The 25,848-nt window shown below is 41.2% G+C and overlaps 1 long non-coding RNA gene across 2 annotated transcripts in view, besides 1 other annotated feature; it reads left to right on the top strand.

The window, feature by feature from the left end:
• The window catches only part of LINC03021 (long intergenic non-protein coding RNA 3021), a 198,360-nt gene that overhangs the window by 31,141 nt on the left and 141,371 nt on the right, over positions 1–25,848 (top strand). Inside the window, exon 2 of one of the 2 annotated variants that reach the window (NR_125425.1) lies at positions 22,466–22,581. This is a non-coding gene — a long non-coding RNA (long intergenic non-protein coding RNA 3021). Of the gene's footprint in view, positions 1–340; positions 759–22,465; positions 22,582–25,848 lie in introns of those variants that run through there. The other variant, NR_125426.1, reaches the window with a different exon arrangement.
• Positions 7,311–7,811: an enhancer, noted in NCBI's record as "NANOG-H3K4me1 hESC enhancer chr8:2547000-2547500 (GRCh37/hg19 assembly coordinates)". NCBI's record gives its function as "activates a minimal SCP1, AML or CMV promoter by ChIP-STARR-seq in primed H9 embryonic stem cells {active_cell/tissue: H9 hESC(primed)}" and the evidence as "EXISTENCE:reporter gene assay evidence [ECO:0000049][PMID:30033119]".

The following is a 25,848-nucleotide window of genomic DNA, read 5'->3' as shown; positions in this document are numbered from 1 at the left end:
TGAAGCAGCAACCTTTTGGTTATGCCAGGGACCATGGGGGTCAGGAATTTCAAAAGGGCCCAGCGGAGTGGCTTCTTTCTGCCCACAATGTCTAGGGTTTGCAGTGGGAAGACCCCAAGGCTGGAGCTGGCCTCATCCACAGGCTGGTGCATGCCTATGTCTGGCACTTGGGCTGGAGGCATGGAAGGAACACTTTTCAGCCTTTACACTCAGCCCTGCTCCCTCACACTGCAATGCTCTCAGGGCCTGGGTGCTACGACTCCTGAGAACAGGTAGCAGGTGTGTCACCTTCTCAAAAATAATGTCAACAGTCATGCAGTCCACACTTTACTCATTTCAGGAGATTCACAAGCCTCCCTCCCAGATTCAGGGAAGGAGATGCAGCCCCCACCCCTTGACTGGAGGAGGACCAAGGTCACCTTGCAGAGCACCGTGAGATGTGGAAGATGCCAGAACTGTCTGTGGGAAATGGGATTTGTACTTGGCTTGTCTGCCTCTTGCAACCAGAGTCCTGGTTCTCAGGGCCTCACCTGTGCATCTCTTGTTGAGCACAGAGGAGGCACTCGGCATAAATGAAGAGGATGCTTGCTGAGCTGGCTGGCCCATCCTCTCTTCTTTCCCTTGTTTTTCTATTTTATCTTTCAAAGCAGTGTTTCAAGTGTTTATAAACTAATCTATGTATAAAATATTATGTGGCATAAGATTTGCAAAATATTAAAGATTTAAAGAATCAAATAAAATATTTGTATGATACCACAGTCCAGAGGCAGCCACTGTTAATGATTTCATATCAGATGCTTGAGAAAAACCATCCCAGACTTCCTCTAATCAGTTTCCTTAAGTGGGATATTTAACTATATAACCCGAATAACAATATATTTTTTATTTCCTCTTTTAGCACTATGTATTCATTCATATCATTAAAAGCTTTTTATGAATTTTAAAATAATACTTGGCCAAAAACATAAAACACTGTTTTTAACATAGAATCAAGATCTAGATAGAAAATAAAGATGTGAATAGTTGAATACAGATAAAAGCATGAAACATTTGATTTGTAGAGGAGAGAGGTGTCCACTTTAGGTGGTTTGGAAAAGAGATCATGGAGAGAATGGGAATTACACTTGCTTCCTTTCACATGGATACAAAGAAATTGTCACGCTGCTTCTACATGCCTGCGGTGGATTGTGGCTATGTGAAGTAAGCCATTGAATTATTTCTATTTCTCTAACTTAATACCCACATTTAGTGCCTTTATTTTCAGAATGGAGCTGGAAAGTGAACATGTACAAGTTATTAAAAGTCACTCTTAATAATGCAATAGTTTCGGGAGCCCAAGATATTCAGTGGATGTGCTTTTGTTACATGTGAATAGTCTTCTGGGTTTTACCCTGAATGTAGTACAGAAACAATCTCTGAGTTGTAAAGTTGTTGAAGCCCACATAGCCTCAAGGTGAAATCTGGTGGATGCTGTCAGGGGTGTATTTTTCATCTTGCTGTAAAAAACAAACATTACATTTTTCAAATCCTTAGGAAATACATTAAATTAAAAATACATTTCTAAATACAAAGGAAGGAAAGAGTTCTTGATCTTCCACAGGAAGTTGCTTTTGAGAAATAAGGGGAATTTCTTTTCACTCAAAGAAGATAAACTATTTTCTTAGAAAAAAGAAGGAGTATTCATTTTAGGTAAGTGAAATATTTCTCATACTATTTAATGACATACTAAAAACAAGGAGACAGAGTAATTTAATGATTTTAATGTATATGGTTGTTATGAATTGAACTGTGTCCCCACCACACAATTCAGATGCTGAAATCCTAATCTCTAGTACTCCAGAATATGACCTCACTTGGAAATAGAGTTGTTTCCAATATAATTAGTTAAGATGAGGTCATATTGGAGCAGGGTGGGCCCCTGACGACTGCTGTCATTTTGAAAAAGAAAGTTTGGAGAGACATGTGTATACAGAGAGAATGGCACCTGAAGAAGAAGGCAGAGGTTGGCCATTTACAAGCCCAGGGACGCCAAAGATCACCAAAAATCCCAGTAGTTCGGAGAAAAACCTGCATTCTTCCTCACAGCCTACTCTGTTGACACCTTGATCTTTCAGTCTCCAGGACTGTAAGAGAATACAGTTCTGTGATTTAAGACACTCAGTTTAGCGACTTCCACAAGAGCCCTAGCAAACTAATACACTAGTCAGCTGTAATTTTATTTTGTTTTTTTCCTAAATGTCTTTTCCTTGATAAGAATCAGCTATCTTATAGAGAAAAGTGCACTATTAAAATCGTATTCCAGAGTGGAGAAAATGGAAACATAATTAAGGGATTTAGGAACTTGGGACTGAAGAGAGACAACCTGGGCCAGATGAGTCTTGATGTTGGGTTTTCAAAAAATGTCCCTACTGTGAACATTTTCCAAGTAAGAGGCAGCAGTGTCAATGGTAAGAGAAACACAGAAGATTTAGGGATATAATTCCCTTCAATCTAGTCTTGGGCAATTTGTCCTGTTCCTCACTCCTTCTCAGCCTCTGCATCTTTTCTTGGGAGGATTAGAGTGAATTACTTGCTATCATTAGGCAAAACCACTCTGTGAAAATCACAGGAAGAGAACTGAGTGAGACTTTTGGTAAGGAGCATAATTCCCAATATTTTTTCTTTTCTTTTCTTTTTTTTTTTTGAGACAGAGTTTTACTCTTGTTGCCCAGGCTGGAGTACAATGGCATGATCTCGGCTCACCACAACCTCCGCTTCCAGGGTTCAAGCAATTCTCCTGCCTCTGCCTCCCAAGTAGCTGGGATTACAGGAACTCGTCACCACGCCTGTCTAATTTTTTGTATGTTTTTAGTAGAGACGGGGTTTCCCTATGTTGGTCAGGCTGGTCTCGAACTCCCTACCTCAGGTGATCTGCCTGCCTCAGCCTCCCAAAGTGCTGGGATTACGGGCATGAGCCACCGTGCCTGGCCAATTCCCAAGTGAATTGTTTTGATTGAGAGTATAAATGAGTGTTCGTAGGATCCACTTTTTTTTTTTAGAAAGCCTCTTTTATTTGGAAGAATATCTGTAATCTGTCAAATCCTGAGCAGGGTAATCCCACACCACAACCCAACTCTTAGTGGTGCCAGCTACTGTACAGCCAGCCTCCTTTTCTCCCAGGGCTCTGCGTTTACCCTTCGGGAAAACCCCACAGACGGTGCCCATTATCACTGCCCCTGTTCCTCCGTAACTGTCCCTTTTCTCCCAGGTAATCTCAAGTATTTATTTGTAGACTTCATGCAACAAAGTCAATCTGGTCTTGCTCCTATGCCTTCAATGACACAGAATTTGATAACCTAGGAATTTACAGCCTAAAGGTATTTGAAACTGACCTCAAACACTTTCCATCTCTGCTTAAAGCAGAAAATCAACCAGAATAGGCAATCATTACGTTGTCCGCAGTCCCAGGTGTGAGTACAGAAAGAATAAATTACAGCCGGGCTCTGGGGTGCACACGTGTAGTCCCAGCTGCTCTGGAGGCTGAGAAGGGAGGACCTCTTCAGTCCAGGAGTTGAAGGCTGTGGTGATCTATGATCCTGCTTGTGAATAGCCACTGCACTCCAACCTGGGCAACATAATGAGACCCCCTTCTCTAAAAATAATAAATAATTTTTAAAAGAAATAATGAATTACTAAATGCTATGTAGTACTAACTGTGATTAAAGGTATCTCTTAGTACAGAGCAAATTACGTGGGTGATTGGGAAGCCATTGAGACCAAACAATAACTAAAGAAAAATAATAATGATAATATTAATTATAACATAACCTGGCACGGTGGCTCACGCCTGTAATCCTAGCACTTTGGGAGGCTGAGGCTGGTGGTTCACTTGAGGCCGGGAGGTCTAGACCAGCCTGGCCAACATGGTGAAACCCCGTCTCTATTAAAAATACAAAAATTAGCTGGTGCATGTGTGCCTGTCTTCCCAGCTACTTGGGAGGCTGAGGCAGGAGAATCGCTTGAACCTAGGAGGCTGAGGTTGCAGTGAGCCAAGATTGTGCCACTGCACTCCAGCCTGGGTGACGGAGTCAGACTCTGTCTCAAAATAATAATAATAACAACAACAATAATAAAATACAGTAACTCTCAGTACTTAGCCCATATATCTACAGGGTGAGTTTTTAATGTCAACAACCTTTAAGGTAATTTGGGAGCATCCCAATGTAGAATCATGGAAATATTATTCATGGAATTTAGTTATTTTAAAAATGATTAAGCTTAATCGTTGGCCAAATTTCATCATTAAACAACCAGCTTTTAGGGATTTTACTCCTTACTGATGTTTTGATTTGCACAGTATTATAAAAGAGTCAGACAAATCTTTATTAAATGTAGTATTATAAAAGAGCCAGATAAGTCTTTATTAAAAAATAGTTTTTCCAAACACATCCTTACTTTCTTCCTGCCTGAAACCCAGGTGAAATTTACTGGAGCCCAGTAAATTCTAGCACTGTCTAACAAACTTAATTTAGGTCCCTGTTTACTTTTTAGCTAAACACTAATTAAACTACACTAATTAATGATGATGCATGTAAAAAATTAGTTTTTTTTTCTTAACGGGAAATGTGAACACTGAAAAAAGTAGTTCAAATATTTAAGGGCTGCAATTTCTTTATAGTAAGAATAGCCTTAGATTCACTATATAAATATTTTATTATGTTGAGTATTATTAAAGCAAAACAAAAACTACAGCTTTCCACTGTAAAGGAATATGTGGGGCAATGCATAGCACAAGTAACACAGGAGTACTCCTAAGCATAAGGAGAATGGAGAAGAAAATGAAAATCCAAGCTCGTAAGGTCCAGTCAGCACCATCACCAGTGCTGTGTGCCAAGCATCACCTCGGTCCACTCCTGTATACATCAATAATAAATCACAAAATTTCTCCCAAGGATTGGCTGACCTTTTCAAGGACCAGATCAATTTTCTATGAAATAAAGGTGCAATGCAAGGAGAGCTCTGAGATAAAATAAATAAAATCATTTATTTGGAGGTCATTTTCATGCTAGTGAAGGGAAATGGGAATGTGAGAAATTTCTATTAAATACTCGAGTTTCAATCCTATTTCAATGCATTTTAGAAAACTGCAATTGCCCGTCTCCAGAGGAGGTCCACACGGGCATTAGCGGTTCCCATCAAAGCTACTGGGATGTCAACAGGGTAGGAATTGTTAGAGCTGCCAGGGAAGCAAGCATTATACTAACTGTGTTTAGAGATTAGGTCTGCTAACAGAAGAGCAAGAGAAAGGAAGTATTAGGGTTAGTATCCAGTGTGTTTCCAGCAAGTCATTTGCATTTTCCCAGGGGTTAATTCTGTGAAGTCCAGTTTGATGTAACACAGCTTCGTTCCACCGTGGTGCTCTGTCAGCCCCTGCTTCTTGTTCCTGTCTTCACGGTCACGGCTGCGCGGCTGCCATCTAAATTCCTGCATGTGGGAAAGGGAGGAAACCAAAATGCCCAGAAGAGCCCACGCCCCACGTGGAAAGACAACCTCTGGAGGGAGCGCCACTCAGTTCCCCTTGGCTATGACGTAGGCGCGTGGCCACGGTGAACTGCAAGGACATCTGGAATTCCATCATGAGGGTTCAAGTGGAGAAAAACCTAAGGAATAAGCAGCCATCTGTGAAACACTCCTTATAAACTGTGTGTAGCTTCATTTTCACACGTGGAGCACATTCATTCCCTCTCGAGGGCGACTACATTAAACTCCATCCTCTCACATCATCACCCCAAGATCTAAGATCCCTGGGGGTGGCTGCGTCCTCTGGGTCATGCTTGGATGCCTGTGGTCTGCTACAAACACACATTGCTGGGCAAGATGCCTGTCCACCAAGTGCCCAGCGCACATTGATGGGTCGTGAAAAGTGGACACCGTTAACTGTGTTTCAGAAAGAGGGTGGGGATTGGAAGCACGCAACAGTCTGTGCTCCACAACGATAATCAGATATTGCTGAGCAGGCTTGGTGAAGATTCTCCGCCCTGGCGATGGTCACGGGAGAAGGTTCTCTGACTTTTCTTTCTTCTTTTCTTTCTTTTTTTTTTTTTTTTTTTTTTTTGAGACGGAGCCTCTCTCCATCGTCCAGGCTGGAATGATGCAGTGGCGCGATCTCAGCTCGCTGCAAGCTCCGCCTCCCAGGTTCACGCCATTCTCCTGCCTCAGCCTCAGGAGTAGCTGGGACTACAGGTGCCCGCCACCACGCCCGGCTAATTTTTTGTCCCTCTCCAGTGTGCTTCATGGAACATGACTCTGCTTCCTTGGAGGTTATTTCTGTGCCTGTTTTCTTTTAAAGCCACCTAACTACTGGGTGTTGGGGAGGAAGCCTTTGTTACGGGCTGCAAGGGTCTTTGCAGGTGGCTTCTCCCTGCACCCTTGGCTACGAAAAGTGAGGGGATTTGCACCAGGCTTGTTAGGTTTGGCAATAGAATTCTCTTTAAAACTGACTCAAATTCTAGTCTTTTTCCTTCTATGCAATTGCATGTTGATTTTTTTTCTAAAGTTATTTTTAATCCTTTTTTTAATTGACCTTTGCCCACCATCTCTCTCTTTCCTCAATTGTAACAAAATTTAGAAAAAGAACCTGTAGCAATGCCACACTTTCAACTACATTCTTACCGTTAAATCATGATAATTTTTATATTTTATCTGTGCAGCTATTCTATGTATCTACTGATCTAACTCTATGTAATCTATCACCTATCATCTCTCTAGCTCTATTTACATATGTATCTATCTCTCTATCTAAATATAATGGTTGAGAAATAGTCATGTAAATCATGTTGTGGCCTCACTGGTTGAAGTGGAATAATATATACACATTACTTATCTGAAAAATAATGAGACATTGTTTAGTTACATAATTAGTTGAATCCTACAAAGCATGTCCCTCAATCACCCTTCCCTTCCTTTGGAAATAGACAACTTTCCCACAGCATCACAGAGAAGCCTCTGCTCCAGGGCCCTCTCCCTCTGCAGACCACCTTTTCTCTCCTGAAAAAGGGGCTGTTGGTCTCTATGCCAGTGCTGGGGTCTTGCTGTTTTATGAGCTGGCCTCCTCCTTGAGGCACAGCTCCTATCCCAGCTCCATAGAGAACACGTCCCCATTGGCTTCAGCCCATGGTCATTTGTTTGCTAAATATGTTTTGCTAATTTTTTTTGTAGAGAAGAGGTCTCATTTATATTTCTCAGGCTGGTCTTGAGCTCCTTCCCTCAACCAATCCCCCTGCCTCTGCCTCCCAAAGTGCTGGGATTACGAGTGTGAGCTGCCGCGCCTGGCCTGCTTGCTAAGTCATTATTGTACACGATCACGCTGCTCTGAGTGGGCAGCGCACACGCTGTCTTTTCTTTATCTCCCCCTTCACCCAACACTCCCAATAGGAAACCATCTCTTTTATGCTTCAGTCTCATAGAGTGTTGAATGTGGCACTCAGCACCTGTTCTTGATTTATTAAATAATGTCGGAGAGATCATTAAACAGGCTGAGGCTTACTATTTGAGAATTCCGGCAGGGCGTGGTGGCTCACGCCTGTAATCCCAGCACTTTGGGAGGCCGAGGCGGGTGGTTCACGAGGTCAGGAGTTTGAGACCATCCTGGCTAACACGGTGAAACCCCGTCTCTACTAAAAATACAAAAAAACTAGCTGGGCCTGGTGGCGGGCGCCTGTAATCCCAGCTACACAAGAGGCTGAGGCAGGAGAATTGCTGGAACCCGGGAGGCGGAGTTTGCAGTGAGCCAAGATCATGCCATTGCACTCCAGCCCGGGTGACAGGGCAAGATTCCGTCTCAAAACAAAAAAAAAAAAAAAAAAAGAGAGAGAGAGAATTCCTTGTTTCTTTCATATACATGATTCACTCAACATCAAAATTACTTCCATAGTAAGAATGACCCACTCTTCACAAAACGTCTGAAAATAAGCACATGTGCCTAATGTTTATGAATTTTCTTACATACAAAAGAAAACCATCCTTGTAGAGTGTGTTCATGGCAAAAAAAAAATAGCATTTATGACAACTTTATGGGCCCAATTAATATAATTATTAGATCTCTGTTTTAAGGTTTCATTAATTATGTTAATTTTATTTTATTTTACTACATAAAGTAGCTTGTGTAAACTGGCGCTGGTTGTCATACTCAATTTAATGATTTGCTCCAGCTTTTCACAGCCTCGTTAAGCATTTTATGTTTATCCAATTAATTAAAAAATATTTGTTTTGTGCTAGTATGTGCCAGGTGCTTTTCTAGATCTGGGAACAGAGGAATAAGTAAAACGGGAAAATTCATTTTGCGGGAGAGACAGATGATAACAAATACATTGGTACATTTTGTAGATATTAGAAAGTTGCATGATTATAAGTACTATGTGTAAAAATAAAGAAGAGAGTAGGAGAGCAGCGGCTAGAGTGCCGGGTTTCTGTGTTATCCAGGGAGCTCTGGACCTGCCTGGAAAGCGGGGTGAGACCCGCAGCAGAGAATCTCGGGCAGAAGGGCCAGGAGGGCCAGGCCGGGGGGAATGTGCTCTCTGACCCTGGGAGCAGTGGTAAGGGGCCAGGAGCAGGGAGTGCCACCATGGCAGGGTTCAAAGGGCCTCGCGTTCGAGCCCTCAGATACCTGTTGAAATCCTAACACGGAAGTGTTGGTATTAGGAGGCTGGGCTTTGGGAGGTGATGGCGTTGTGAAGGTGGAGTCCTCACAAATGGGACTAGGGTCCTTCCGAAGGGCCCTCAGAGAGCTCCCTCACCCCTCCGGATGGATATGAGGATTCAGTGACAGGCGCCATCTAGGAAGCGGGAAGGGGGCCTCACCAGACACCAAATCTGCCTGGATCTTGGACTTTCAGCCTCCGGAACTGCGAGAAACAAATCTCTGTGGTTCACAGGATTCTCAGTTGATTATGTGTCTGAGACTCTGTGTCTCAGAGTGAGGCTGAGATCTACCCAGGAAGGGAGGGCTTGGGGGAGAACTTCTGGGGACACAGCCAAGAATCTCGCTTGTATCACGAGAGAGATTGGAAGGTGTTGTAGAGTTTTCAATACGAGAGGTGAAAGTTGCTATGTTTATGTTTCTAAAGCAAAGATGTCCAGTGGTACCCCTTGGGAAGAAATTATGAACATAAAATGGGGAAGAAAGTCACCAATGTGAACTGAAATTCTGGGTAAGAATAAACCAAATAATCCTAGCAGAAACTGTATAAACCTAATAAGTGGTTTAGTCATACAAACAAACGAGCAAGTATTTTTTGAGTGATCGTTACTCATTAGGCACACGGGGATAAGGAAGAACTTTACGACCTCTAAATATTTACAGACGACTTGGAGATTCTGGCCCATATATATTTTAAAAGAATAAGCAGTATTTTAAAGAATAAACAGCACAGACATAAGGATCAATGGTGCTCACTGGGGATGTAAGGGCATCGGTAATGTTGCGTTTTGTGATCTGGTTTCTGGCTTCATGGATGTTTATTTTAATATCATTATTGTATCTCACAGCCACTGTTCACACACATGTTAAATATGTATTTATTTATGGAATGGTTCATATTATAAATATGCAATAGTCTGGCAAAAAACAATCCATAGTTTCTAATTTAGCAAAGTGAAAACAGAACAACGTCCAAAAGAAATGGGAAAAGTTTCTTGGAGACAGCGGCTTTGATGTGTGAGAGAAAGCAAACACCTGCCTCTGACCAGCCACAGGGTTGGCGTCTGCCATGAAGCCACCCAGGCACATTTTGCCCTTCTGCATAACTTCATAAACCCCTGACGCAGTGACTGAGCACAGCCCTCCGGAAGAATGTCCCACGGGCAATAAGGGAAGAGCGTTGGTCCCCATGGCTCTTTTGCCTAAATCAATGCATTTTTAGAAAAGATAAGTCCAGGCCGGTCATGGTGGCTTAAGCCTGTAATCCTGGAACTTTGGGAGGCCGAGGCAGGTGGATCATCTGGGGTCAGCAGTTCGAGACCAGCCTGACCAACATGGTGAAACCCCATGTCTACTAACTAAAATAAATTAGCGGGGCGTTGTGGCACATGCCTGTAATCCCAACTAGTTGGGAGGCTGAGGCAAGAGAATTGCTTGAACCCAGGAGATGAAGGTTGCAGTGAGCAAAGATAGTGCTATTGCACTTCAGCCTGGGCAACAAGAGCAAAACTCCATCTCAAAAAAAAAAAAAAAAAAAAAAAAAAAAAAAAAAAAGTAGATATAAGTCCAATGATCCTAGACCTGGCCTTTTTCTGTACATAAGACAACATCCACCAGGATTAGAGATTATGCCTCTGCCATCTATAACCGATGGACTCTTGCACCCAAACATTGATGAGCTTTGCTCTAAAGGAAACCCTGAGCATCTGCAGAACCCCCACCGCCAGCAGAGAAGCTGCGGGCTGAAATTCTGCTTTGGAGCAATCCGACAGAAACTCTCTAAAAGACTTGCCTGGATCGCAGTCATCAGTAGGACTCTGAATAGGACTAATTTTCTTTTTTTTTTCAGATGGAGTCTCGCTCTTTCACCAGGCTGGAGTGCACTAGCACAATCTCAGCTCACTGCAACCTCCACCTCCCAGGTTCAGCCTCCTGAGTAGCTGGGACTATAGGCATGCACTACCATGCCCAGCTAATTTTTTAATTTTTAGTAGAGATGGGGTTTCACCATGTTGACCAGGATGGTCTCGATCTCTTGACCTTGTGATCTGCCTGCCTCAGCCTCCCCACATGCTGGGATTACAGGTGTGAGCCACCACACCCAGCCAAAACTAATTTTAATTATTTAAAAGGCTGATTTTTTTCATTAGTTGACAAATGGAAGGAATGATCAAACTTAACAAAATGTGACCTGGGAGGATTGGAAATTTTGCCCCTGCAGAGTGACAGATTCTTTAAGTAGCAGCCCTTGACTGTGGGGCTGAGGATGGCACAGGTGAGTCTAGAGTCCACCTCAGGGAGGAGGACAGCAGAGAGAGGCACCTGCAAGGATTAAAGTCTGAGTGACAGCTTGGATCTGGTCCTCTTGTCACTGTGTTGCTACCTGTAAAGGTCTTTGAAGTTAGGCAACCACAGGTCTAAAATAAAAACGCTAGAAGAAGCTTTCAGAGGTATTCAATGTGTCTATCATCTGGATTGCGTTGATGGTTTCACGGGTGTTGGCATCTGTCCAGACCCATCAAATGGCATACATTAAATATATGCAGGTTTTTGTATACCAATTATACCTCCATAAAAGCACATTCTGAGCCCAGCTTCTGATGTGTAAAAACACTGACCACTTCAAAACAGACAACGTTTGTCAATATTCAGATACTGATGGGAATAGAAAAAAATATCTTGGTGAATATTTTCCATTTGAATGGACTATAATTATTTTGTCAGTGTTTAGGAGGGAAAAGTATTTTATCCTATGCATTTCTGATTTTAAATGGGTTTGTTCTACATAAAACTTTAGGTAATAATTACACTGGAAATACGTAATAAATTTGGAGCAAATGGTACATTTACTTTATTTCAATGAAAAACAAACCTGCCCCACAACAATAACAACAAAACTCTGGAATACACTTCAAAATATGTAACAGACAATCTGAAGTCTCCCTGGATAACTGAATGATTGTAGCAATGAGGATTCACATTGCTAGCAACAGGGTAGCATCTGATCAGAAATAATTATCAACATGTTTTTCTCATATGATGCCTCTTATTAAAATGCAATTTGTCAAATTGGAGAATTTCTAATGTGTTAGATTTAGTTTCATTGCGAAAGTTTTTTTTTTAATCAGATTCCCTCCTGTCATGTCAACAACAAGAAAATCCATATTTTTGTCGAATTATCTCAGTGAGAACTACCAGATATCTGCTGAAAGCATAATGTAAATATTTGTGGTCTTACTTTGTACTGTTAATTAATACTGATCATATTTTATGTTGAATTCAATGGGCACCATTCAGAGACACTTCACTTTTACTGTCTAGATATTCAAAATTAGTTAATTGGCCTTTTGCTGATAACACAGCTTTAAAAGTTTCTGAAGACTTTGATTATTGCAAGCATCAGTCTTCTTTCTAAGTCGGCCTAAACCATACTTAAAGAAGCAATACTTGTCACGCACAGGCTAAGAAAATGAACTAATATCAGTAAAACACTCAATGTCTTTAGCCAAGTATTATGGTTTATGTTCTGGGTTGGTAGAAATAGGAAACAAATAGAAACACTTCACCTAAATCTCTCTATTCAAAAACTCTAGTAAATGTCTTTGGGCTGAAATGTCTGATATAAGTGATGAGAACACTTGTCTCATGGCATGAAGAGGTGTTGACCGATGCTGCTGTCTGTCAGGAACAGCGTCTGAGCCCCGCCACAAAAATCGCTTAAAGTTTGAATACAAGTTCCATGAAGTGCACTGAGACTGCTACGCAGCAGTCATTTCAGAGACGTGGCCATACCTGCTGGATGACTTGTGTTGCCAACCTGCCCTGTCTGCAGTCACTCAGCAGGCATGGCTTTCAACATGTATCCTCTGTCCTCTCCAGCCGTGGTAAAGGTCTCAGACAATGTGAAGCTCGTCCCAAGCCAATGAGACCTCACAACATACTTTTCCCTTCAAACATTTACCAAGAGCAGAATTGCATAGCCACAAGATAAGGGGAAAAGGAGATTCAGGAGCACGGGAAGAGATGAGGCACAGGTTCGAATTGCAGCTATCTCATGGCAACAATGATCAGGGCATTGCCAAATTGTTCAGGCAAAGCTCATGCCAGGTAGGTGAAGGCAAGGGCAAAGGACGAGGGAGCACCAGTCAACAGGTGGGACAGGGACACTGGATGAGGACACAAGGAGGAGAAAATGAGGTCCTCCCAGAACTCCGCTGCTCCCACTACACAATTCTAATGATGCCCTCGGTTCTAAGAATGACCTTGACAAAGAGAATTCAACATGGCAGCCCCCAGGTTACTCAGGACAAATGGACTTAACCCTTTTTATACGGAGGGCCACCACAAAAATGTATCTGAGGTGGTGTATACAAAGAAAGAACTGAAAAACCAGCAGTTTATTTGAGAGATGATTCTAGAGGCATCTATAGGGAAGTTGAGGATGGAATGAAGAAGGGAAGGCATTCAGAGAAGGGTGGATTGTTGAGCACTTTTATCTGTGGGCAACAGCTTCTGCCCCATCTTCTCCATCGAACACACTGTGATTTTACTTTCACTAAGATTTTTCTTCAGCTTAATAAAAAACTATTTGCTTATATCAAAATGAATCTTGTTTACAGTTGCCCTGTACTCATCAAGACCTCGGGCTCTTCACTCTTTTCTTGGCAATTATTATCTCTGGGAATAGGTCTTACTATTGATTAATAATTAATATCTAAAATGAGAATCACTTTCCTAGTTGCTCCCCACATTGTATTGTAAGAGGCTAGATGGCAAGATAATGTCTTATTTCAAACAATTAGCATAATGTCAAATGCGTATTACATGTTCAGTGTTTATGGGATGCACAGATTCGTACATTGCATATTCTTGGAGTAGGCGTGTGTATTTTTCCAGAAGCACACCAGACCCTTCCATAGACAAAATCTCTTGACTTTTGTAACTGTGTTTCATTGTCAGAAAGGACTTTGAGGTTTCTTTTGTCTTTGAAAAGTCCAGGGTCACTGACTGGTTCATGACGCCACTGCAGGTAGACAAGGAGTCTATAATTCTTTCATTTTTCTTATTTGTCCAGGGCTTCAGTTAGGTGCTGTTTTTCAGATAAAGAAATCAATACAGAGAGACCAAACCTATATGAATTGAATTTCATCAAAGAAGAGCTCTCACAGGAACTAACATTGAGTCCACGTAGAAAAGTGGAAATTCCCCCAGCGAGGAGTTTGGAGTTTTCACACTTGTGTTCTATGTTTAGAATCTCTACCAGAATAATTAAGCTACAAGTTGTTTATTGCAGCTTGTCTGAGACAAGCCAATAAGCCAAGACTGTATTTAGAAGTAGGTTATAAAATATACTCTCTCTATTTATCTGACCTACCTGCCTTTAAAATGAAGGTAGAATCTTGCTTATTGTTGAGTAAAGAAACAAATACCCTGTTATATAACAGTAGACATCAAAATATCTTTCTTTTTAATGCTTCTTGTATAATTTTCTTAACTGTTTTTTGTAGTTGTTGTTGTTTTGGTTTGGTTTTAATTGAGACAAGGTCTGGCTCTGTCACACAGGCTGGAGTCCAGTGGCACAATTTTGGACCACTGCAACCTCTGCCTCCTGGGCTCAAGCCATCCCCCACCTCAGCCTCCCAAGGAGCTAGGACCACAGGCATGTGCCACCATGCTTGGCTAATGTTTGTCATTTTTTGTGGCAATGAGGTTTGGCTATGTTGCCCAGGCTGGTCTTGAACTCCTGAGCTCAAGCAATCCACCTGCCTCAGCCTCTCAAAGTGCTGGGATTACAGGTGGGAGCCACTGTGCCCGGCCTTAGTAGTATATTTCTCTGAACACTGAAATATCAAACTACTCTAAAATATTCCCATCTTCTAACTCCTCTTAAAGAATCACTTTCTTATGTTAAAAAATCCAATTTATCTCACTATGAGTCCAACTGGATAATGTATTTCTTAAGTTTGTTTTAATTTGTTTGTTTTAGATCAGAAATAGTTTATGAAGATTACTTGTCACAAATATTTCTAAGGGGAATAACTGCTGCTATTCATGAGTCATTTCAAGTTCGCTTGACTTGACACGGAGTTTCTATGACACAAGTGTTCTTTTCAGGAATAATGATCTGTAATGTAGAACATTTTATGTTTTGCAAAATACAACTTACTTAATATATATACTATGTGAAAGATAGACTTATTGTACAGCATGATGCTTCGGAAAAACATCTACTTTCTATGCCACATTCTTTTAGCCGAGATAAATTGTTTTATGTTGGATGACTTCATAGTTTATTGCCACTGAAGAATCTCATTTTATTTTATGCCGCAGAAACAAAGACAAACACGGACTTCCAGAGATTATGTACCATTGCAAAAGCAATCCCTGAAGAAAGGTCATTCCATAAAGGGTGATCAGAAATGATGGTTTAAGCCGTCTGTTTAGATAACCAAAGATATTTTTCCCATTATTAATGTACATTACAAAGATAAGCAAGAATTAATTGAAAAGAACTGAACTGGTAAACATATAATTAACTATACAAATATTAAGCATGCATAGTAAAAAGCAAGAATGTAGTTTTATAATAAAAAGGTGTGTTCAAGGTAAATCGATAGTCCCTCTGCATGACTATGAATGAAACACGCAGTTAGGAAGGGAAGGGAAGGGAAACATCACTGAGAATCCGCGACCTGCCAGAGAGTGTAGAGATAAGTTCATTGGATTTTCCAAACAGCCTTAGCTGTATGCATTATCACCGTAATTGAGCAGATGAGAAAACCTCCATTTAAAGAGATTTTCTAGTTCGTTACATAAAACACAAAACACAGTGTAATAAAGTCAGTGGATCAAATGGTAGAAAAATCTGGCTATGTAATATGCTGCTTACCCAGCAAAACACTTGAAACCGTAATTCAAAGTGGCATTAGAAGAAGTTTTGATCAAAAATTTTAAAGTATTGACCTTATAAAAACATAATCGAATGCATTTTCCTCATTTTGGAGCTTTGAAAAACTCATTCAAGGTTATTTTGCATTTTAAGCAGAAAAGATTAAATAAAGAAGGTGTTTTGTCCTTGGTAGAATCAGAAATGAGGTAAGTGAAAACACAGTTTATTAATACATGATATTGCCTAATGCCTGGGAGGTGTTAGATCAATATTTGTTCCATGGTTTTGGGAGTACATAAAGTAACAGTTCAATAAAGAAAATTAGGTGTTAATAAGTGACAAACGAGGTATAATGCTGACTGAAAATTAAAGAAATCCTGTTATAATCATTATTATAGTTACGCCTCTGTCATCTATTTCCTTCCCAAACTCTTTTATGTAAAGTTATAATTTATGTTTAATTTTGTTTTCAGCATACTCCGGTGCCTGATGCAAAAACTGAAGATTAATCCTACACTATTCCCCTAAAATGTTTTGATTCTGAAAGCAAAGCATGGCTTTTCTCTGGGTAGTATGTACATACTTGTTGAGTCTATTCCTGAACAAATCAATGGAAAGTTGCTTTTCTCAGCAATATTTGTTCTATCGACTTTTACACTGTAGAGCTAACTCAATTATTAGGAAAGGAAGCTATTTTATTTTGAAGTCATGTCAATGCTATGCAAGTCAAATTGCAGGATTTTCACTCTGAAGATAACATAAATATGTTTTAGGCAGGAAGCTTCAAAACAGTCTCATCATGTTTCAGTAGGATGAGATGTCCACGGGATAATTTGCTGCTGGCCCTGTTTGCTCGTTGGATGCCTGGGCAGTTAGAAATAGCCGCGGGGAAGGCAGAGGCTCCAGTGGTCTTTACGGACGCTCGAGCACAATCGAGTTTCTGAAAGGCCCTAATAACCCACTCACACGGGCATCCCGCGATCCATGCACGAACCCTGCAGTCAGGAATCAGAATGAGGATTGGCAATCCTGCCCACGCAAGAAAGATCGGAGCCCTTCCGGGACATGGGCCAGTGTGTGGAGAGAATTTAGAAGAGCTCAAATTGCTTTCAAAAATGACAACTGCCCACAAAGGGCATGCACACCACAGTGCCTGGTACCCGATCTCCTCTCAGTGGCAAAAGCGGTGAACACGAAGCAGTTTAGAGAAGCTGGTTATGACATCTTCTCAGGCCTCAGAAGAAAAAAAATGGAATTATGATGAAATGGTCTAAAAATCTTCCTACACCTATTTAAGAGTTGCAGTCTCTATTCCAGCTACTCAAGTATTGTATAAAATGGACCCATTTGTATAACTGCCAATTTCAAACAACTGTCCTGGCAGAAAACCATTCTACATAAGGAAGCTGGTTCACTCATTTTTTAAGTGTACTTTCAGTGGACAGCAGCTGCCACATGATGGGGTGATGGGTGCCTGAGCCACTGCATCCCATAGAACAGTTGACCAGCCATGGCTCCAGGAAGCAGGTGGGGGAGCTGGGCTGCAGTTATAAAGGCCACTAGATGACACTATTTCCATACTAAGGAGACAAGATGGGCAGTCCAGGTCCGTGGACCACCGGGGACAAAAATCTCTACAATATTCTTACAAAAAAATGGGCGGATTGGACAGGCGCCGTGGCTCACGCCTGTGATCCTAGCACTCTGAAAGGCCGAGGTGGGCAGATCGCCTGAGGTCAGGAGTTTTAGACCAGCCTGGCCAACATGGTGAAACCCCATCTCTAATAAAAATACAAAAATTAGACAGGCGCGGTGGTGGACACCTATAATCCCAGCTACTCGGTAGCCTGAGGAAGGGGAATCGCTTGAACCCGGGAGGCGGAGCTTGCAGTGAGCTGACGTCACATCACTGCACTCCAGCCTGTGTGACAGAGCAAGACTCCATCTCAAAAAAAAAAAAAAAAAAAGGGGGTGGATAATGGACAGATGGATGAATGAAGAGATGGAATGAAGTATAAACAAAATTTTTACATTTTGTTAGTACCCAACTGATGACAAGGATTACAATGTTTTGTGCAAATGCCACATTAGTTTACGAGGAAGCCTTAGCATATGAAAGCTGATTTGGGTGTGCTGTTTTCCCTGCTTCTTACCACTCTTCACAGGTTCTGCTCAAAGCTACTTCACTAGGTGAGTCCAGCTGCTGGTTTCCTTCCTAGCTAGTGCACCAGTTCTGAGGGGGATCAAATGCATTTCTCTCTGTTGTGGTGTGTATGTACGTGTATGCGTACATGTCCATATATACGTATATATATATACATATATATACACACATATATACATATATATATACGTATATATATACATATATATACGTATATACACATATATATACATATATACATATATATACATATATATATGTTTTAGCATTCTTTGAAAAATCAGCAAATACAATCATTTCTTAAACTGCCTTGAGTGTACATTTTCCAATGACACAATCCTTGTGTCTTTGTGATTCAACTCTCCCCCATTTTCTTCTCTGCGGATGAATTGGGATCACGGTCCTTGAAGGACCTTATCTGAGCGGGTCAGCGACAAGCCCCCCAACGATTGGCTCCTCGTCGGTGTCTTCCTGGGACCTGGGAGTGCATCCCCAGCTGGAAAAATCTATCTGAAATAGGCTAAGAAAACCATCACCTCGCAGAACTCAAAATTGCTAGCCATATGTATTTTAACTGAATTCCTTAGATATGAGGAATCTTAAAAATCATAAACAAATAGGCATATCTCTTTTTTCCCTAGACCAAAAGTAACAAAACAACAACAGAAAACCAGGGGGGGCGCGGTGGCTCACGCCTGTAATCCCGGCACTTTGGGAGGCCAAGGTGAGTGGATCAGGAGGTCAGGAGATCAAGACCATCCTGGCTAACACGGTGAAACCCCGTCCCCAGTAAAAATACAAAAAATTATCCAGGTGTGGTGGCGGGTGCCTGTAGTCCCAGCTACTCAGGAGGATGAGGCAAGAGAATGGCGTGAACCTGGGAGGCAGAGCTTGCAGTGAGCCGAGATCGCGCCACTGCACGCCAGCCTGGGCAACAGAGGGAGACTCCGTTTCAAACAAACAAAACAAACAACAACAAAAAATAAAAAATCTTTCAGATTAAGCTACTCAGTTAAAAATGTAAAGCTGGAAATGCTCTTCCATCGACAATTTCTAATCGAAGCATCCTTATTCTGTAGTAATTTTCACTGTGTCTTGTCATAACGGAAACATCAAATATTTTATGTAATGATTAACAAAAAATCATAATATATGTTAATAACTAAAATTATGTAAAAATAGGTATTTTTCACTCAGGATCAGAAATATTTGAACTATTTAATTCAATGATTCCAAGTTATAAAAACCTTAAATGACTTTCTTTTTGAAAATGTCACTTTGATTTTCATACGAACTAAATTTTATTTCTCATTACAGTGTTAAGTCCAAAATGTTGAATTAACATTAATTTATTGGCCTATTATGATGAATATGCAACAGATACAAGCAGCTATAACCATTCCTTTATAGCTTTTAATTATGTACACAAAAATGATAAAATAGTTATACATGTATTATATTTGTGTGTGTATACATATATACACACATATGTGTGTGTGTATACATATATATATATATATATATATATGAAGGGCCTTATGTATTCATATGTGTGCTTCTATCATATATGAGCCACTTGCAAAGTTTATAATTTAAAACAACCTATTCCAGATTAATAATTTAATAATCTTTGTTCTTTCTTCACCAAAGCCTATTCGATACTTTCTTGTCTAAAGTGCCTCAAGGTTTAGATGTCCACAGTAGCTGTGCATGAGCATTTTGAATACACGGTGGTCAGAAAAGACATGAGAATAGCCAGAATTAAAATGAGAAAAATCCAGAATTGAAATGAGAACAATCAACATAAAACAGATTAATCAACACCGCATTTGAACCCAAATTACACACCCGTCATCTCACACATATTCTGCTTTCTCACGTTCAAAGACTGATGTACATGGCAAAGTCATCTCGAGGAATTCATTATATTTTTATTACAAGAAGAAAAGTGCATTTGGAGAATTTCAGCTTCTAAGAATTATTTGTATATGGCAGAATTTACCCTTTTAATTAGAATCGTACACTTATTCCCTATTTAAAAATGCAAAATAAGAAAAATAAATGAGGTTTATGAGGTTTTAAAAAGTGGGCTAAATTAAGATCCATCCTAAATATATTTTTTAAGTTGGAGATTTTAGGATTTATGAGTAACACATTGAGTCAGACTCTAAATATTCCTTTATTCAGACAGAAGATACTGAAGAAGCAGATCAGTGTTTAGTCAGAAACCAGTCAAACAAGAACATCCGGCCAGGGTCCTGCTTGCTGGGTGGTTTCTGCGTAAGCCTCAACACGGGCAGAACATTTTCTAAAATCTTCATGTCTGGATTAAAATAAAGAGGATTAGAAAAATGAAAATTCCATTGTTAGAGTAAAGCTTCATACATCAAACACATGAGTTTGAAAATTAAGTGCATTACATTTTTAAGTGCTTTCTTGGTGTGTCTGGAAAATGTAGAATGAGTTCTTGAAAATGAATGAGAGTAAAAAATGTTTCTTTGTTTCTTTTAGTTTTTTTTAACTGAAAAAAGTTTAATTTTTGAGAGGGGGAGAAAGATGACTACTAGTATGCATCAGCAGAATAAAGTTTAAAGGAAGCATACAGTTGTTGAGCAAAATCTTGTGCCCTAAGGATGAATGACAGTGATAGCAAATACCTGTGGCCTGCTGTGGGCTACGTAAAGGCTTCTACAACTCCATTGTTTTCAATCAAGGCAAGGCCGGGCACGGTGGCTCATGCCTGTAATCCCAGGAGTTTGGGAGGCTGAGGTGGGCATCGCTTGAGCCCAGGAGTTTAAGACCAGCCTGCGCAACACAGCAAAACCCCGTGTCTACAAAAAATATAAAAATTAGCCAGGTGTGGTGGCACGCACCTGTAGTCCCAGCTACTATGGAGGCTGAGGTGGGAGGATGGCTTGAACTTCAGGAGATTGAGGCTGCAGTGAGCCCTGTTCACACCACTGCACTCTGGCCTGGGCAACAGAGCAAGACCCTACCTCCTAAAAAATAAAATAAAATAATAGTTGAAGGCAAGATTGTGTGGATGGCACAAGAAGAGTTGGAGAAGTCGAGAGAGATCTTCTGTCTGCTGAGGGCAGGATGCATGAGCAGGGCACCTCCTGGTAACGGAGGAGAGGCAGAGCTATGAGACCCCTGGGGAGGACCCCTGAATGCGGGGCGGAGGATGGAGAGGCAGTTACACTCTAAGGGCTAGCTGAGAGCTTAAACATCATGCACTCGTGTGATGCTTTCTTTCTAAGAGCCTCCTTCATGTAAATCATCTTTGTTGTTGGTTCCCGCACTCACACGTTTTCCTTTCTACATTTCCCTTTGTAATTTTAGTGGAAAGCCACAGTTGGAAAAGTAATGCAATCTCCAATGGTCATCACCAATCTCCAGGCCAACTTTAAAAACACAGGGGAGGCCAGGCGCGGTGGCTCACGCCTGTAATCCCAGCACTTTGGGAGGCCGAGGCGGGCGGATCACGAGGTCAGGAGATCGAGACCATCCTGGCTAACACTGTGAAACCCCGTCTCTACTAAAAATACAGAAAATTAGCCGGGCGTGGTGGCGGGCGCCTGTAGTCCCAGCTACTCGGGAGGCTGAGGCAGGAGAATGGCGTGAACCCGGGAGGCGGAGCTTGCAGTGAGCCGAGATCGCGCCACTGCAGTCCAGCCTGGGCGACAGAGCGAGACTCTGTCTCAAAACAACAACAAAAAACCCCACAAAAAACCAAAACAACAACAACAACAACAACAACATCAAAAAACACGGGGGGGGGGCGGGGAGGAGACTGTTACGCCATGCTCTGACGAGAAGTCTGCCATCCTCCAACTTTTCTTCTGTTTTAGATTGTTTGGTTGGCTGGTTGGTTTTTGTGTGGCTATGAAGATTTTTTTTTAATACTCAGTAATACTCGGTAATGTTACTGTAATATCTTCAGGGGTAGATGTTTTTGTAAAACACCTTTTAAAAACACTTTGTAAAATTTTAATATGAGGACGTATTTCCTTTCTCCGTATCTGAGTAATTGCCATGAAGTATACCTTGGAATATTACATTTTTCCCAAATCTTCCATTAATTTTTATGATATACATATAGGATTTTCTTGTTCTATTATTTCTATGCCTTTAGATCATTTCAATATTTTCCATATTTTTTCTCGACTGTATTTTTTTCTGCTCTATTTAATGAATCACTGGGCTTTATTTGGCTTTTTTGGTTCCTACTTCAAACCGTCCATTGAGCTATTAACTTCAATGATTGTATTTCTCATTCCAAAAGTCATTTTTCTAATAATTTTAGACAATTTTGATTTTGCTTTACTGTTGTTTTTTTTTTAATCGTTTTGAACATTTGAAGATGTTTATTTTGGTTTCTCACTCATAATTGCTTTATTTGGGAGGATAGTTATTTTCTGGTGTTCCTCACACTGTTTGTAACTTGTGTCATGGGGAATCTGTGTCAGGCTCACCTGCTATGCCCCCACAACCTCTGGAAGCTGTGAGGGAATGGCTCCAGGGAAGGTTTCAGCAGCGCAGCATGTGCGTGGGAGAAATCAGGGCCCCCAGTGTCAATAGTTGTTTCTTTTTCCACTCATGGCCCTGCCCATTTGACAGGCTGTCCTATTTTTTTAAGACTTAGTAGGAGAGATTCTTCTTGCTTTTGTCCTCTGTATTTCCTACTCACTTCACAGACGATGAGGAGAACATTATAATTTTTGTTTTCTTGCAGGTAATTCAGTTCCAACCCCTTCAGTGACAGCAGAGAGACCCAGGCCACCTTCCTTGAGGATTTCGGAGCTGCAGCCCACAGCCAGGGCCAGAGTGGACTCAGCTCTCCAACCCACGGTGATATTACAATTCTTGTTGTGTTCCTAGCTGTGGGCTTGTTCACCTCGGGATGGCAAGGGCGTGGCACAAACACCCCCACATTTCCATTCTGTGTTACGAAGTCCGCGTAACTTTTCAATGTGTGTGACAGACAGGTGAACAAATGGCTTCTCATTGTCTTCATCTGCCATTTAAAAGGGGTACTCCCTCTTAATCTGAGGCTGTAATCATTTATTCTGATTCTGATTCTACATCGATGCCGATGTCTTGTCCAGGGATTGCCCTGCGTGTGTGGTGAACCTGGGGGTAGGTCTCTGTTACTGCGTAGCCTGCGCCCAAGAGGACTTCCCTCTGTCCTGCTGTCTGTCTCGGGGTTTTTGGCGGCTGGTCAACCTTGGACCATCCTCTGTGTCATCATTTTAGTCCTTCCCATGTAGGTCATCTGATGTAACATTGTCCCGTTTGCATTTGAAATTGATGCATTTAAATTTATTTGGAGTAAATCGCTGATACAATTCCACCAGAAACCAACTGCTATAGCTAAAATAGTATTTGCAAGCACAATGACACCCTCTCAGTAGCTTAAAAGCATAACTGTTAGTCAGGCTGATAAATAATTAGCATGCTTTGGCTCTGCCTCATATAATCAGTTCTTAAAATAAGATTTCTCTGTGTTAACACAGGACATCATAGTTGAAAGTTCTAGCCCCAAAAGTCCATCTTCCGATTTTGTAGAAAATTTCTTGTTTAAAATATGTACAGAACAGCAAAAATGGTTAACTTTCTGCCAATTTTATACAATTCCCAATGTGATTTATTTTCAAGCAAAAGATCATTTCTGATCCACAAGAAATAATCAACACCTAAGAAAATTTAATGAAATACATTATTTTCTGTCATGATGTGATAATTGACAAATTAACTGGTATTACCACTGAAATCATTTTCTTCATGTCGTTTATACCTATTTTTGTGGCTGATACTTGTTGAGACTTGACAATTTATAAGTCAGATTAAAAATCTCAGGAATTAGCTGACAGAAATTCCATTTGAGTTTAAAATAGTTCCCGCTGAGCTTATTATATATTATCGTGGCAGTAAAGATTATGAAGTCAGGTCCCAAACTTATTTGACCTACAAAATGGTTTATACCATCATGTGAATTATAAATAATAGAGTTTGGGGGAAAAGCCTCTATAAATCAAAGGGTGGAATAGGTTTTAATAAAATCACATTGACATGTACAGTACTGTGAGAGAAAAAATGTTTTTTACAGAGACTAATATATCCTTGAGAAAATAACTTTACATGCTGCATCTTGTTACTAGTTCACAGAGAGGTATAGAGCCAGAGCTACATCTAGAGAGATAGGAATATATAGAGAGAAACCGTGAGAAAGACAGAGGAAAGACAGAGAGAGAGAGGAGAGACCAAACAGAAATAGAGAAAGGGGGAAAGGCAGGAGAGAAGGAGAGGTAGGCAGAGACAGTGGGGGGAAGAGAAAGAGAACAGCAGAAAGCAAGAGAAACAGGGAAGGTGGAGAATTAGAGAAGGAGAGAAACAGAGACACAGAGGCAGAGAAAGGGAGAGAGGGTGGGAGAGACACAAAGTGGCTTCGTTTTCATTCAGAAACTAGGACTCCCTGGGTAGCCCAGGGGCCTTCTCCCTTCCTCACTGTACACACGGACTCCCGGTGCCTGCGTGCCCTGGCTCTGTGCAGCTTTGTGTTTCTCTTGCTCATGGTAAGTGGCATCAGGTTGAACGCTGGTCTCAGCCTTTGCTGGAGCAAGACCTCTGTCAAAGCAGGTAGGTAGCTGTGCCTGAATCCCAGTCTTGTTTATTTCCAAGTCTGCTCCTTCGGGCTTTAAAATATCTTGTCCCCTTCCCTATATCTCTATGAATATACAATCTCTTGCCTTTCCATGTCTCCATTTTGCTCCTCAACCTCTCCCTTTTTCCTTTCCACTTTCCTAGTCCCCCCAGCACATCACCCGAGCCCTATTTACATGTCCTCTGGGTGGAACTGAGGGTGGCTCCCTTCTCCTGACGGAATGCTTTCAGGTGCAGTGATTTGTGGCAGTAACGGTCTCAGGGTTGGGCCTGGGGCCCTTGTTTACCCCTCCATGACAGTACGTAATGCCTGGCTCAGTGGCCTCGTAACCATGTAGCTTTCCTTGCGGTTGCTTGGTTGGAGTGGCCCGTGAAGGGACCCCAGGGGTGCTGAGTGTTTCTAACTCAGGTCTGTGGAGGGAACGCTTGTGTCCAACTGCACTGGACACCTAGACACGGAAAATGAGAAACTTGAACTCTCAGCTCAAAGCACAGTCAGACAGGAGTTTTTATGGAGGAGCCAAAGGGATTTCTTGTTTCTTTTAACTATAGAGTTTTTATACGGATAAAAAAAGACTCTAAATCTAATTGTGTTTTGCAAAATTGTGATGTACATTGAACCCCCGGGGTCTCGAGGATGTCATGTGCTAATTACAACACTGAGACGTAGTGGGCTACCAAGCTTTAGAATGGAGCTGTGGGGAAAATTCGGAAGATTTTTAGACATGTGTGTTCCGAATTCCCTCCCACGTCTCCCTTGCCAGTGAAGCTGCTCTCCATCTTCTCCTGAGGGAGACAAGCCTCCCTTGGCTGGAAGACTGCAGTCGTTTGGGTGAATGGTCAGGGAATTGAAGAAAAAAAAAGTGTAGAACTCACCCCAAAGAGAAACGTGAACAGATGACTTGCGGTGGGCGTTGTGGCTCATGTTGAATATTCGTCCGAGGACACCAGTGGTGGAGGAGCTCTCGAGTCAGGTGGACAAGGGAAATCATCTCTGGGTACTTCTTTGTCTCTTTGGGTTTAGTTTGTTTTGATTTGTTTTTGACTTTATCTTGTTCCCATAGTTAGGTTTTGCCGCCATAAAATGAACCAGGGAGCTGTCCAACATCCTACCATATAAAACAATCCACTCCTAAGTTGTACTTCAGTAACAAAACGAATCTCTCTTTAACGATGTCTCCTTCATCAACTTTCCAAAAATGTACGTGGTACTTTCAGTGATTGATTCAAATGTTCTATTCAATTTTGAGTCAACACTGGTAATATATATTCTGTGTACAAAATCAGCCTAATTGTCCAGGCTTCTGAATTAGAAGATATAATACTACAGTTGCATGCATTATTAGCCTATAATACTTCATCTCTTCTATATCTGTGGTTATATGATGTTTTCATCATTTCTAATTATATTTTCTGTTTTGGCATTACTGTGCTCAATACCTTTTTTGTTTCATT

Source organism: Homo sapiens, chromosome 8 (assembly GCF_000001405.40).
Source record: "Homo sapiens chromosome 8, GRCh38.p14 Primary Assembly".
NCBI lineage: Eukaryota > Metazoa > Chordata > Mammalia > Primates > Hominidae > Homo > Homo sapiens.
The sequence above is the reverse complement of the archived record's forward strand: the minus strand, read 5'-3'. Positions and strand labels throughout refer to the sequence as shown.